At 34.3% G+C, this 14,982-nt stretch overlaps 1 protein-coding gene across 16 annotated transcripts in view; it reads right to left on the reverse strand.

Moving 5' to 3' along the window:
* The window catches only part of ARAP2 (ArfGAP with RhoGAP domain, ankyrin repeat and PH domain 2), a 239,381-nt gene that overhangs the window by 199,904 nt on the left and 24,495 nt on the right, over window positions 1-14,982 (reverse strand). For 14 of the 16 annotated variants that reach the window (XR_007096352.1, XR_007096353.1, XR_007096350.1 and 11 more), the window contains exons 3-6: window positions 9,115-9,173; window positions 7,936-8,012; window positions 7,089-7,180; window positions 5,083-5,436 (exon numbers count right to left, since the gene is read on the reverse strand). Coding sequence is in view for 7 of the 16 variants with exons in the window: in XM_047449575.1 (XP_047305531.1) it covers window positions 5,083-5,436; window positions 7,089-7,180; window positions 7,936-8,012; window positions 9,115-9,173 (582 nt within the window). In the remaining 9 variants the exon portion in view is untranslated. The remainder of the gene's footprint in view (window positions 1-5,082; window positions 5,437-7,088; window positions 7,181-7,935; window positions 8,013-9,114; window positions 9,174-14,982) is intronic. The other 2 variants (XR_007096351.1, XM_047449573.1) reach the window with 1 other exon arrangement.

The following is a 14,982-nucleotide window of genomic DNA, read 5'->3' on the forward strand; positions in this document are numbered from 1 at the left end:
AATCAGTATAAAAACAGTAAGACATATAAAACAAATGCTAAAGTAACTACAAAAGAGTTGAAAGTGGCTGCCTCTTATGAAGAGGTTGGAGGTAAGAAATGTCACTTTTTTTAAAATAAGCTATGTACTACTTTCTGACATTTAAACTATGTGCTTTTATAACAATCAAAAAAAATGAATTCTGAAAGTTCAGTGTGAACACACGATTTCTTTGCCTTGTATTTATCAAAGTATGAACTGACTAGGACTCACAGTAACATTATTTAAGGTCCTCTGCAATAAAATGGTGTCCTGAAAAAAAAAAAAAAGAAAATCGAGGTTTATTGAGCATCAATTAAGAGTGAGGCCCAAAGTTACCTACTTTTCCAAATGATTTCACAGAGATAGTCTTGACCTCACACATTTATGTGAAAAATGGAGGTTCTAAGAAGTTGAGTCACACAGCAAATGAATGATGTCTGTCTGATTCCAAACCCTATTCATTTCTCTGCAGCTAGGATGGCTGAAAGGAATTAACCAGGTAATTTTATGGAGAATGAAACTTTTTTCGTCCTCAAACTACAAAAATATTAAAGCTTTTTATTTCCTTGGCACAATGTTTACAAGTAGCTAGTGCTTTGAGAAATGCCCAGCTAATTTGCAGATTAAAAAGAAAACATACTTTTTATCAAGGATTTCGGATTCACTTTTAAGATCAACAAGGTGACTGACATATAACACCCTAGTCAAACATGGACTTGCCAACTTTCTGCAACACCTGCCTTCACCGCAGCCCCAAGAAAGCATACCAAGAGACCCAAGGCACTCAAACACTTGCGTAGCCAGGTGGAGAACTGTTCCAGTAAAGGAGCCTTGGAGACTGGATGGTGACATGGAAACCAGTCACTGACAAAGGCACAAACAGCATAAGCTCTGAACTCCTCCCAGGTCTTGGGCTATTGGCTTCTGGGAGCTCTGACTGCCAGTCGTTGTCTGAGCTCTGACCTTTCCTTTGTATTTGATTATTGGCTTTTTCACTTTCCCTAGTTACCTGTTCTCTGAACATGCTTTTCACTGGCAGTTTCTCTCTCCTGGTCCTAGAACCCAACTGTCCATCTTCAATAAAATAACTCCAACCTCCACCTGCTCACTATCTCAACCCTCAAGTACATCTAGATATCACCTCTATGAGTACCTTTCCCTGTAGACAGAAGAGCATTTTACCTAAAAATGCCAGTTAAAATCTTATCCGTTTTGCAAAGGGCAATTCAACTGCTACCCTCTCCTTCCAGGAAGGTCTTTGAAGAAATGCTTTCTCAACCCTTGGTAACCTCAGGACTCTGTATTCTGCAGACCTTTTTGCTCCAATTATTATACTTTTGTCTTTGGGTTTTATCACTATTCACATATATATTTCTTTTCTGCACTAAATGGAAGCTACAAAAAGACAAGTAACACATCTTGCTCATCTGTGTCCTCCTCCACCTCCAAGTGCTGACTTAACCTCACATGATCAACTTTTAGCTGTCTCAGGCTCACACTGCCACATCAGTCCTTCTCATGGCCAAAAAAAAAGTTAAATTTAAAAAAAGAGGAATTTCCCCAAGTAAGAAAGTCCTAAAACATTTCAAGTAAAATAGAAATTCTTTAATATACAGTGCAGTTTTTATAAAGATGCTCTGTGTGTTATGCTGAACGCACAAACATCCTTAGAAAATAGTAATGTAAAAATTCAAAAAGGTTTCCTTATTGCAGATATTCTTGGAGATGTTAATTTATGCATCTCCTCGAAGAGGCACAGCCATCCAACCATGTTCTCTTTTCTTTACAACAGCTTCAAACATTTCTCTTCTGAGATGCATATTTGGGAAATGCTGGAATAAATTATATCCAGTCTTTCATATTTGCATCTATGCAAATCTGCTGAAAAGCTTAAGTTTATTATTTACAGCTGCGAAAAAGTGAAGAAGATGATTTATTTTAATCCTCAAAACCCAGTGAGAGGTTTTTAAAAGCAAGTATCACTTATTAAGCTTTTCATCTGCTTTGACCTGTTTGAAATACAGCCCCCCAAATTCAACATTTTATTGTTTCTTTCACACAGTTTTTAAACCACTAGTTTTAGGGATGTTATATTTAGGTCAATCAAATATTTAAACAACTTTTCATATTTTAAACTGGAAATGTTTCAGTATTTCTTTTGTTGTATGGTGTTATGCAATTATATTCTTAACCAAATATTGGGCAATGCTCACATATTAGGCATTGATTCAGAATTGGCATTTCCATTTCAAAAGTAAATAGACAACCATGCGAAATAAGCTCAGATTGTGAATGTGATTATTTTGCTTAATGTCATTCATTAAACAAAAGACAGTTTCAAACACTATTTGAAAAAGTATAAACTAGAATGTGTCTGTTAGTTTTTAAATTGTATTTTGACAATTGTATTTTGATAATTTATGTGCATGTCTTTAAGGGGGAAACAATTGTTAAAAAAAAAACCCAAGAGTTCACTACCCTGTTAATGTTTATCAGTATTATCAATGGTTCCTGGAAATTTTCACCCACAAATATGTTGTTGAGTTCAGCAGCTTGTATTACAATGTTCTTATAAATTGCTGTTTTAGAAAAATTAAAAGAAAAATATGCCTAATGCTAGGTTTTTCACAGATTCGTTCCACAGCAAATACTAAGCATCTACCACGTGCTAGACAATGTTCTGCTAAGGCTATCACAGCACAAGAAAAGCAATGCTGATGCCTGTCCCCACGGAGCTTGTATGAAATAAATAAATCATCTGGCCTGTAAGCCCTGTAGAAGAAAGTAATTAAGGGAGTGATGGGGTGGCAGGGGAGAGCAACAGTCGTAGTAGTAAATTTGGTGGCCAGGGCTTAAATGCAAAGGAGACATTTTAGCATGAATTTGAGAGAGGTTCAAGCCATGTTACTCTTGGGGAAAGAGCATTTCAGGCAGAAAGAACTACAAATGCAGAGGCCCCTAAGGAGGACCTCTGCTTTTTATTACTTCTGTATTTTATTCGACCACAGCCTCATTCATCGGCTTACGTATTGGCTACGTCTGCTTTTATGCTATAACTGCAGAGTTAAATACTTGCAACAGAGACCATTTGACTATAAAGCTTAAAATATTTACTACTTGACCCTTTACAGAAAAAGTTTGTTGACACCTGCTATATGGAGTTTGGAATCCCATCTCAATCAGCGCTATCTGCATCAAAGAGACACGCAGCCATGAGTTAAACGAAACTCAGCAACCACTGCATAAGGAAGGGGTAGGCATCACTTTGTCTACTTTAATGAACATCTTAAACCCTCACAATAGCCTACAGAGCCTAATTAGGAAAGGAAAAATTCTCGATTCTACTTCTGATTTAATGAATGCATGCCTTTTGGCCAGCTACACATATTTCTTTCAAGTCATAGCAATATAATCACGTAGAAGTGTTTTAAAATTTCTTGGTGATATACCAAGCCCCTTGGTTTATTTTCTTATATCCACTCATCTCGGTATTTTGGTTGGGGGTGGGGTGGGGGGAGCTTTAGGACAGAAAATGCAATTATTTCCCCTAAAATGGAAAAATATAAATCCAGAAAACTTACAGCATCTAACCTTAGGCAGGTTCAGAATAGAAAGAATGGAAAGTCAAAGTTCTGAAAAAGAGAGACAGAATATATTGTAACTGTCCCAGAGGTGGCCAACAATAGTGAAACTTTCTGAATGTGCCTGGAGCATAAACAGACCAACCCTGTAAAGAGCAAGATCTCACCTGGGACGCACAGGAAACCACAGCCGCTGGGGGCTTTGTACTCAAAGTCTGTTTTTTCTTCCAGTGATACTTTAAGAGAGCACTTGGACCTCCCTAAATACTTGGATTTTATAAAAATGAAAGATTCAAGAATATTCAAGTTCACTGATTCATTCCACTAGTGTTTAGACCTGAGCACTGATCCACATGTTCGACATCTGAATATGCACTTACCAATAATACTTAGGACTAAAAAGAACAAGCAGAGGGTTTTGTCATCATAATGTAACCAGAAAGAAGTGACACACATAGCTGATAGTAAGAAGTAATCTGCTTTGGTTTATTCAAAATCAAATTTCCTAAAAGAATGAAAATATATAAGGTATTAACATATAATTGCTAACCATACAATTTCGGGGTGTTTTGCTATCTTTTGAAATGTTAATTCCTGCTTCTACTAGTCATCTGATGCTGCTTCTGGTAGTTTTTTTTTCCAATTAAAATTATTTTAGATCAAACCAATCCTTTCTAGAAATGACACACATTTCAAGAGAATAGGAGTGAAAACCAGCACACTGTAGGGACTCACCACATTAGCTACTGATACATGAAAGCTTTAATCTCAAAAGAATTTAATAATCCATGAAAAACATTTCAAGTAAATATTTCAAAAAGACATCTAAAAATTAGGATGCCAGTAAACAATTCTAATTAAATATAATCCTTCCCTAAAGATTTCTCAGTACTGTAAAATGCTTAAGGGACAAAAGTTTCTTTGTAAACATTTGTTGATAAATCCAAAGAAAAGTATAATATTCACGGGACTCTGACCTTCTGTGTAACATACAAAAATCAAAATAAGATATCAATAATAGTGAAGACCTAAACCTAACAAAGATGTACTTTTCCCTAACAACAATAAGCCTTGTATTCTCAAACAGAACACTGTTATGATATGAGCAAAAGCCAAACAGTGTGGGCTGAGTAATACTAACTCAGTCTGTCTTGTTTTTCTTTGTTACATACTGGGACACAGATTAGCACATTTTGATGCGAACTTAGAAGGTAACATTAAGAAATTAGATGTGAGGTCATAACTTTCTATTTTAATTTGCGACTCTGGACCTTAATGCAGCATTGCATTGCACATCTCTCTCCTTATGTCTAAAGAATAGCACTGGCAAAAGTGTGCTGAAAGTCCCTAAAAATGGCATCTCTGTGTATGTGTGTGTGTGGCGGTGGAGTGGGGGAACAGCAACCCTGGAGGTTTAGAAATGAATAAACTTGAAATTTTAAAAATATGCCACTTATGAAATAAATGCATACGTACATACCCTTGAGGAGAGAGTTTATCCAGCCATCCTGATTTAACCTTCTTTGCAGATGCTCCATAAAAGCAGGCATAGGGAGATATTGCCTGTGAAGAAACGGCTGATGAATCAGCATTTCCACTTGTTGAGCTTAACGGATAACTGTGCCTATTAACGGAGTCCAAAATCAAGGCTTTTTGAGTCCTAGATTTAGATGCCTTTGAATTTTTTCTTCTTAAACTCTGAAAGCATTCTTCTACTGTTGAGTATTCTGATTCAGAAGCAGTGTCTATCAAAAAATTGTTTTTGTCCTCTCGAGGTATCCAAATATCTTCCACCTTGTCCTCGCTTATTTTCTCCTTTCTGTTATCGTATATGCTAAACGGAAAAATGATGTAAACATTTCAAAGTGCTATATGTGATTTAAGACATCAGTGACATTTTGAAAATTTATAAATAACTAATAACAGAAACATAAGGCCAGGAAAATCCTAGAGTTTCCATTAACCCTATTGAAAATTTTTTAAACTCTTCCAGAAAAGCTAAGTAAAATTATTTCATTAACCTATGACATCTGAATACTACTACAAGTTTTTTCTTAGGTATAATTTAATCTTATCCCTTTTATTTTGGAAGGTTAGGGGCAGGTGCTAAGAATGCAGACTGGGTATATTCTTCACATCACAATTTAAACATCTTTAATAGCACAATTAAGTGGCCAGCCCAATCCCTCTGGGCAACATGACGGACCATTAACTCATCTATATGGAGATCTTATTTCCAATTTGCTTACCCCTCTCTACTATCCTCTAATCAACTCCAAGGACCCCATGTTTCACCACAATGCAATAAAACAGAGAGTATGCCTGACTGCTGAGAGCATCAGTATTATTTTGCAATGCTGATGAGGAAAAATATTGCAGCACACTGCTAGCTAGAAAGCAAGAAAGGGTCAGTGTACATTCAGGAAGTAAAAGCTATGTAATGCACAATATTTATTGGAATGCATTCATAATAGCTAAGCATATTTCTACAGATTCAAGGGATGACATAATAGATCAACTCATTCATTAATGCCAAAGGACATTTTTTGCTAATCAATGAAACAGATATGCCTGGGCTCAAATTACATCTTTCTGGATATAGCATTCTAAAAACCATTACTGCCTCAAAGAATAATTTAGCCTGGCCCTTTCATATTTTGCATTATATTAGATTATGTCAAATGTTTACTAAAGATGTTTAATTGTTTAGCTTTAACTGAGGGAAACCTATAACAATGTTAGCCTTAGAAAATGAAAGACAAAAATAAAATGAATGTCCCACTAAAAAGTATAATTAAACTGTTGGCAATACAAAAGAGGAATGCTTTGGGGGATGAATATTCCGTTTTCCATGATGTGATTATATTATGCTTATATCAAAATATGTTATGTACCCCAGAAATATATACATCTACTATGTAATCTCAAAAATTAAAAATTAAGAAAAAGAAAATGAAGTATCAGGTAATGTGCCAGTATGCCAAGTTCCAATAAAGCTGAGAGAAAACCAAAATTGAAGTTGGTGCATACAAATTCTAACTCTGTATGTGATCCAAATAACTGGATAATTGTCATGCTTCTTGCCAGTGCTGAAACTCCAATAAAAAGAATATATTATACTTGTAAAAGTCTGCAACTTGCATAGTGATGTTCTGCACTGCCCTTTTCTCCTTTTTATTAACATAACCTCTCATCTTTAATGTGCAATCATAGTCACCTGTATTTGCTACTGTGGGGAAGGGGTGTGGTTTCCATTAGAAAAAGACAAAAATAATCTGCCACAGAATGCAACTATTTACTTGATCTACAGAGCATAATTCAATTAATAAAATGGGTGCTGCTATGCTTACATTTAGAGAGGAAAAAATTGAACTTATCACCATAAACTATTTTCTCTGACACACAATATTATACTAAGAATGAGAAGTCAACATTGTATAACAGTTTATTCTAAATAGTTAATCATCATCAATCATGATCTCATACCTTGATTTGATGATAAAAGAGTTTGTTGCAGTAGCTGCTTCCCCTTTGAGTGCTTCTCCCTGGGTCAAAAATTCATTCTTTATAGATCGCTTCTATTAAAAAAGCAAACAAACAAAAAACACATACTGTTTTGCTTTTTGGTTTGGGGATTTGTTTGTATGTGTAGCAATATTCTACAAAAATCCATAATATCTGAGTTTAGTTTTATTAAATAAGTCTAATTACTTAGATCAATTTTCAGAAAAAAAAGTTAGTCTACATTAAACAGACTTTTGATTTTTTTTTCACTATTTTATTCAAATCGTTAACTCATCAATTCAAGTAAGAATAAAAGAAAATGGTAACCAAAAATAAAATTTATGTACTTTTACTCCTTGATTCATTTTTGTCTTCCAACTTCTCTTTTATCAAGACCAAGAAATAAAGTAGCAAAAGAGCACAAGTAATAGAAAAGAATGAGTGATAAACTAAATAATTAAAATATATACATAATTGGAAATCTATGCACTTCAGAAGTCTGCACTTGGCTACAAGGCAAAGCAAAAATCTAGAGAGTGCTTAAGTTTTATACAGTTTGTCTTTTGTTTAATTAACCCAATCTTGTGGCAAATTTTTAAAACTCACTATCCTGGATTCCTGAAGTCATAATAAACATGTGTTCCTATAATGTATATTGAAAGAGACAGATTTTACCATAATTTTACTGAACAAAAATTTTGCTGACTGGAAATTTCAATCTTCAATATAATGCCATTCTTCAAATAGCTTGGAGAAAAATGAAGAGGTACAAATAGGCAGAAAAGCAAATAATTGATTATGGAAAACAATTAAAATGTATGGGACTAACCTTGGAATTTTCTAGTCTCTGGAAGAGAAAGGTCTCTCCATAAGGAAAGATGGAAGATGAATTCTCCTCATTTGAATCTTTTAGGGGAATTACAGGATGAGAACAGAAAGATGTGAATAATGTGAAATACTGTTTTTAAAAAAAGATTAAAAGCATGAGTTTTTTATGGCATTATCACAACGTAAGCTTTATTCTGTAAGAGTCCAAATTATGCTAATTCTTATCCCCAAATCAATTCTCCCCATCGTCTTCTTGATATAACACACATGGTATCCACCACTTGCTTCACAAACATAACTCACTGCTCCTTAAATTGCAACCTGTCACACATGTCCTTCCCAACCTCTAGGATCCACATTAACATAACCAAATACATTGCCCACATACAAAATAAATTGTCATGGTGCCATTTATAATGCTAATTCCTAAATAAGGAAATATTCTAAATGGCAGAAAATTAAGCTTAATTCTATAACTTACAATAAATAATTATAAAAAGGTCACTAACATAATAGCTAGATATCACTTAAAATCCCAGAAGGCATTTAATATAATTCCTCTAATGCCATAGCTACTAATGCATCTGTAAATAAATTATTTCAAGAGAAGTTCCACCATCCTTGAATTATACTAATCTACAAAAAAAGAATTCTCAATATTTGCATTTCTACTCTGGCAAAAATTTTTCTTAAAAATTCAGTACCCAAGTGTTTGACATCTTATTGTCAAAAAGAATGTTCCCAAACTTGTATAATCAGAATTTTCAAAATGAAAGAAAAGCCTCTGTCACTGTTCAATTTGCCAGAGCAACAATGACAGCCCTTTCCAGTTACCATGGCAAAATCACTTTCCGTACATATATCTTTGTTCTGTAGCTCAAACTGCCAGAAACCATTTAATTTAGTTAAATGCCTGCAACTGTGGCTAATGATAAATGAAGCTTGTATAAAAAGAAAACTTCTTACATTAGCATGTACAAATTTCCAGGAGTCAGAGTGTATGTTATTGCCTTTTATTCAGTCCATTTTAAAAGTGTCTGAAGTACTATGAACACTGGCAGACAGTTATTTCCATTGTTCCCTATACCACAGGTGGGCTGCCTTCGCAATCATGATTTTAACACAGTTAAGACTATCAAATGAGCTCTAATTTAAGGAGACATTAAACACATAGACTCACTTTGCCATGCCACAGATTTTTCAGTTGAGGTAGCAACATTTCTTCTTTCACGGAAATAGCTTAAAAAGCAAAGGAGAAAATACTTATGAGTGAAAATATTTATGATATTTATGAGTAAAATTAAAATTATTAGAAAATATTATGAGAAAATATTTATGATTTATATTTAAGTGAAGGATTTATTAGAGAGCTATACATTCTTTTGGGTAGAAAAAACAATATTCAGAAATTAATTCTGACTTGAAAAAAGCTGAACAGCCAAATTCCACAAATGTATTTTTGTATTTAGACTTTTAAAGGAAGAAATTTTCTTTGCAAAGGACATTTTGTACAAGTGTTTGCTACTCACATCTATAATTTACAAAAGTAAACATATTTTTCCAATGCTAATATGCACATAAAGTAATTTCAAAACTGCTAGTCATATCTCTGAAACAGATTTACTAACTAGATGTCAGTATTTGTGTAGCTTTTTGTCTTTAGCTTTATAATACTGAGTCAAAAATGTGTCTGGCTCTGTAGACACAATATGAAAATACACACAAGATCTTTCAAAGATCTTACAGTCTCGGAAGGAAGATATTACAGGGCAATTATTTAGAATACAACATGATAACAGCAGTGGCAGAGGTAAACATTGTAGAAGCAGAGGGTGATGAAGGCCTTCTATCATATAACAGAGTTCTCTTTTCCATCTAAAAAATGGAAAAATAACTTTTAAAAAGAAGAACAAAACTGGCAGATTTATACTATACAATTTCAATATTTAATCTAAAACTACAGTAATCCAATCATTGTGCCATTGCTGAAAGTATAGACATATAAATCAATGGAATTGAATAGAAAGTCCACATATACAGTCCCACACATCTTTGGTCCATCGATTTAAGAAAAAAGTTCCGAAGAAATGCGGTGGAAAAAGAGTAGCCCTTTCAACAAATGTTGCTGGAACTGGATATCTCAATGATGAAAAGAAATGAATGTCAACTTTTGCTTCATATCATGCACAAAAATTAACTCAAAGTGGAGTTGGGACCCAAATGTTTAATGCTACAACTCTAGAAATTCTGAAAAATATGAGAGAAAAATCATTGTAACATCTGAGTAGGAAAGATTCCTTAAATAGAATAAAAAACTAAAACCCTAAAAAACATTGAAATTTAGTATTTACCAAAATTTAAAACTTATAATGTCACGTACTAGTGACAAGTGGTTTGCCCAAACCAAAAAAAGGACTCTTACAATCCAGTAATAAGAAATACAACTCAATTTTAAAATGGGTTAACCTGCCATGGTGTTCACCTCTGGTCCCAGCAACTCAGGGGGCTGAGGTGGGAGGACTGCTTGAGCCCAGGAGGCGGAGCCCTGCAGTGACCCATGATCGTGCCACTGCACTCCAGCCAGGGCAACAAAGCAAGACTTTGTCTCAAAAAAAAAAACAAAAACAAAGCACACACACAAGAACAAAAAAGAACCAGCACGGGCAATATAGAGAGACCTTGTCTCTACAAAAATAAGTAATAATAAATGCTATTTTTTTAAGCCTGGGCACAGTGGTTCATGCCTATTATCACAACATCTTGGGAGGCCAAGGTGGGCAGATTTCTTGAGCTCAGGAGTTTGAAACCAGCTTGGGCAACATAATGAAACCCCATCTCTACAAAAAAAAAAAAAAACAACGAAAATTAGCTGGGTGTGGTGGTGCATGCCTGTAGTCCCAGATATTTGGGAGGCTGAGGTGGGACGATTACTTCAGCCCAGGAGGTTGAGGCTGCAGTGAGTCATGACTGCATCGCTGCACTCCAGCCTGGGCAACAGAACAAGACCCTGTCTCAAAAAATAAATAAAATAAACAAAATGGAAAAATGCAAATAGTTGTATCACAAAATATATGAATGTGTGATACCACCACATACACATTAGAATAGCTAAAATTAAGGCTGTCGATATCAAGTGTTGGAAAATATGTGGAATAATTAGAACATTTAAGTAATGCTGGCAGCAAATAAACAAACAAACAAATATATAAATAAATACTGCTGGCAGGAATGTGAAAGGGTGCATCCATTTTAGAAAATTGCTTGTATTTTCTTATAAAAATAAATAGTCACCAAACTTCAAGGCCCAGCTATTAACAATCCTACCAAAAATATTGAAAACAGATGTTCACAGAAAGACCTGTATACAAATGGTCACAGCAGATTTATTCTCAATAATCAAAAACTTGAAAAAACCCAAATAGACATCAGGAAGTAAATGATAAACAAATAGTGGTGTATGGATCCAAGAGACTACTACCCAGCTGAAAGAAAAAAAAACTACTAAAAAAAACTAATAATCTAAATAAATCTCAAAAATCATCATGCTGAGCAAAAGAAGCAAGACATAAGAAATACTGTCATGCATGGTTTAATGACAGGGATACATCCTGAGAAATAGGTTGTTAGGCAATTTCATCATTTTGCAAACATCATGGAGTGTACTTACATAAACCTACATGGTACAGCCTACTTCACACATAGGTTACATGGTATAGCCATTATATTCTTACAGGACCAATGTCATCATTGTGTGGTGCAGGACTGCATATTCTATCTTATTCTATATGAGCATGTGAAACAGGGATGGACTGTATAAGAAACTAAGAAACTCTTAGAAGTAACAGAACTGCTCTGTTTATTGTTTGTGGTAAAAATTTCATAGGTTTACATATCTTTCACAACTCATCAAATTACATGCTTTAAAGGATTATAACTTTATATATATATTTTTTGACCTCAAAAGGAGTTGTTTCAGAATGAATTCAGCAGCCAAGCATGGTGGCTCACACCTGTAATCCCAGCACTTTGGGAAACCGAGGTGGGCAGATCACCGGAGGCCAGGAGTTTGAGACCAGCCTGGCCAACATGGAGAAACCCCATATCTACTAAAAACACAAAACTTAGCTGAGCGTGGTGGCGGCACGCCAGGCACCTGTGATCCCAGATACTCGGGGTGGCTGAGGCAGGAGAATCTCTTGAACCCAGGAGGCGGAGGTTGCAGTGAGCCAAGATCACGCCACTGCACTCCAGCCTGGGTGACAGAGGGAGACAGCGTCTCAAAAATAAATAAATAAATAAAATACAAAATACAAAAATAAAAAATAAAAATGATTTTAGCAAACTTACTAATAGGGTTGACATATAAATATCAATTCCATCCCCAAATATCAGTAAACAAAATGAAACATTAAAATGGTGCCAAATAGTATAAGGGCATTAAAAAACTACCAAAACCTAGAATTAAATCTAGCAAAAGATTTGCAAGAACTGAACTGGAAACCATTACTGAGAAAATTAGAAAAAAATCTAATTAAATTAGAAAAATATGAAATACTAGATATATGATAATACTAGATAAATAATACTAGATAATACTAGATATATGATAATACTAGATAATACTAGATATACGATAATACTAGATAAATATGACAATACCCCCTATATGAATCTGTAGTGTCAATGCAACCCTAATCAAAACAGTTACAGGGAAGGGGGTGTGTGAGATTTAACAAACTGATTCTAAAATACATGTGAAAAACAAAGGACCAATAATGACAAATTTTTAAAGAGTACAGTGAGAAGACATACTCTACCAGGTTTCGTGATTTATTATATAGCTGTAGTAATTAAAACACTATATTACTGATAAAAAGGATAACAGACTATTGAACTAGAATTAAGAACCCACTTAAAGAGACCCAGTTACATGGATGGAGCAGGAGGTCATTTTCCTTAGCAAACTAATGCAGGAACAGAAAATTGAATAGCACATGTTCTTCCTTGTAAGTAAGAGCTAAATGATGAGAACATATGAGCACAAAAGAGGGAACAACAGACACTGTGGCCTACTAGAAGTGGGGAAGTGAGAGGAAAGAGAGGATCAGAAAAAATAAGTATTGGGTACTAGGCTTAGCACCTGTGACACAAGTTTACTTATATAACAACCCAGCACATGTACCCTAAAACTAAAATATTAAAAAAAAAACAGAGATCCAATTGCATTTAAGCCAAAGACATCAACCTATAGCAATGAGGAAAGTATGGTCTTTTGAAAGACTAGATCACCTGCACATCTATATGGAAGCAAATGAAAATTTACTCCTACCTCAGACAATACACAGAAACCAATTCAAGACAGATTATAAACCTCAGTGTAATAGGCCAAACAATAAAGCTAGAAGATAAAAATAGAATATTTTTATGTGTCCTAAGACATAACAGTTTTAACTCTAAAGGAAAGTGCACATAAATTTGACTAAATTAAGATGAAGAACTCTTATTCATTAAAAAGTCACAATTAAGGAAAATAAAAACAATATGCAGAGGCAGAAAGATATATTGTACAAGGGGTTTATACCCACAGTTTATCAGTAACTCTTAAGAATAAATAACACTTAAGAAACACACAAAAAAATGCAATTTAAAACAACCAAAACCAAAATAGGTGAAAGATCTGAAAAGGCACCACACCAAAGAAGATATAAATGTAGCAAAAGGTCAATAAACAAGTGCATAAGGTGTTCAATCTCATTAGTTATCATGAAATGCAAATGTAAACCACAACAAAATAACACTACACATGTATCTACATGGCTAACAAAAAACACACAAATGTTGAGGGTATGAAACAAGAGGAATGCACATACACTGTTGATGGTAATGCAAATTCATACAACTACTTTATAAGAACCATTTTGCATTATCTACAAAAATGGAAAATATACATGTCCCATGACACAGCAATCCTACTCCTAGGTCTGTACTCAACGGCCATGCATACAAATATGCCTCAAGAATAACCACCCAAATATATGTCAATGGGCAAATGGATAAACAAATTGGAGATTCACACAAAGAAACACTATTCAGCAATAAGAACAATCTGACATGCAACAACACAGACACATCTCAAAAACATCTTACTGAATAAAGATGTGAGATACAAAAGAGGACCTGCTGTGTGACTCCATTTATATAAAATTCCCAAATAGGCAAAACTAACTAATAGTGAAATCTACAGGTGCCTGATTCAGGAAGTAGGGAATTTACTGCAAATGGTCACAAGAGAATTTTGGGAAAAGTGGAGATGAGTGATGGAAATGTTCTAAATCTTAATTGTTATAGTGGTCACATAAGCATGTATATATGGAAAATTAGTCTATTTTATATGTAAATTATGTCTAGTTGATTTATATGTGTATACACATTTACATTATATGCATGTATATATATGTATACACACATGCACCTAAAAATAAATATATACATAAAATATTGGATAAGGTAGAAAATATGAAATATCTAACAAAATTAAGAATGGATATTATAGCATATTCATACAATAAAATACTATACAGCAGGAAAAATAAACTATAACCACAGGCACAAACATGAATGTTTCTCAAAGTTAAGCAAAATGAGCTAGACTAAAAATATACTCACTATAAGATTGCAATTTTTTAAGATCACAAAATGGGCAAAGCTATACTGTTTGCATCAAACCTAAAAGGTAAAACCTTTTTTAAAAGCATCCTTTATGTGTTCATTATGTCCAGATTCTCGATACTTCTATAAAGCTGCAATTGTTTCCTGACATTTGTATACTACTAAGGCAAGTACTTACTACTGATTTGAACCCTTGAGTGGAGCAGTACTCAAATTTTGTACGTCTTTGGTAACTTGCACTAGTAATTAATATTGCTACTTCTTACTGAGCATTTACAATATGCCAGATAGGTCTCAGATTTTTACATATAGGCACACGTGTGTGTGTGTGTGTGTGTGTACAGTCATCCCCGGCACGTTTTGATCAATGACAGACTGA

The sequence above is a fragment of the Homo sapiens genome, chromosome 4, assembly GCF_000001405.40.
Source record: "Homo sapiens chromosome 4, GRCh38.p14 Primary Assembly".
NCBI lineage: Eukaryota > Metazoa > Chordata > Mammalia > Primates > Hominidae > Homo > Homo sapiens.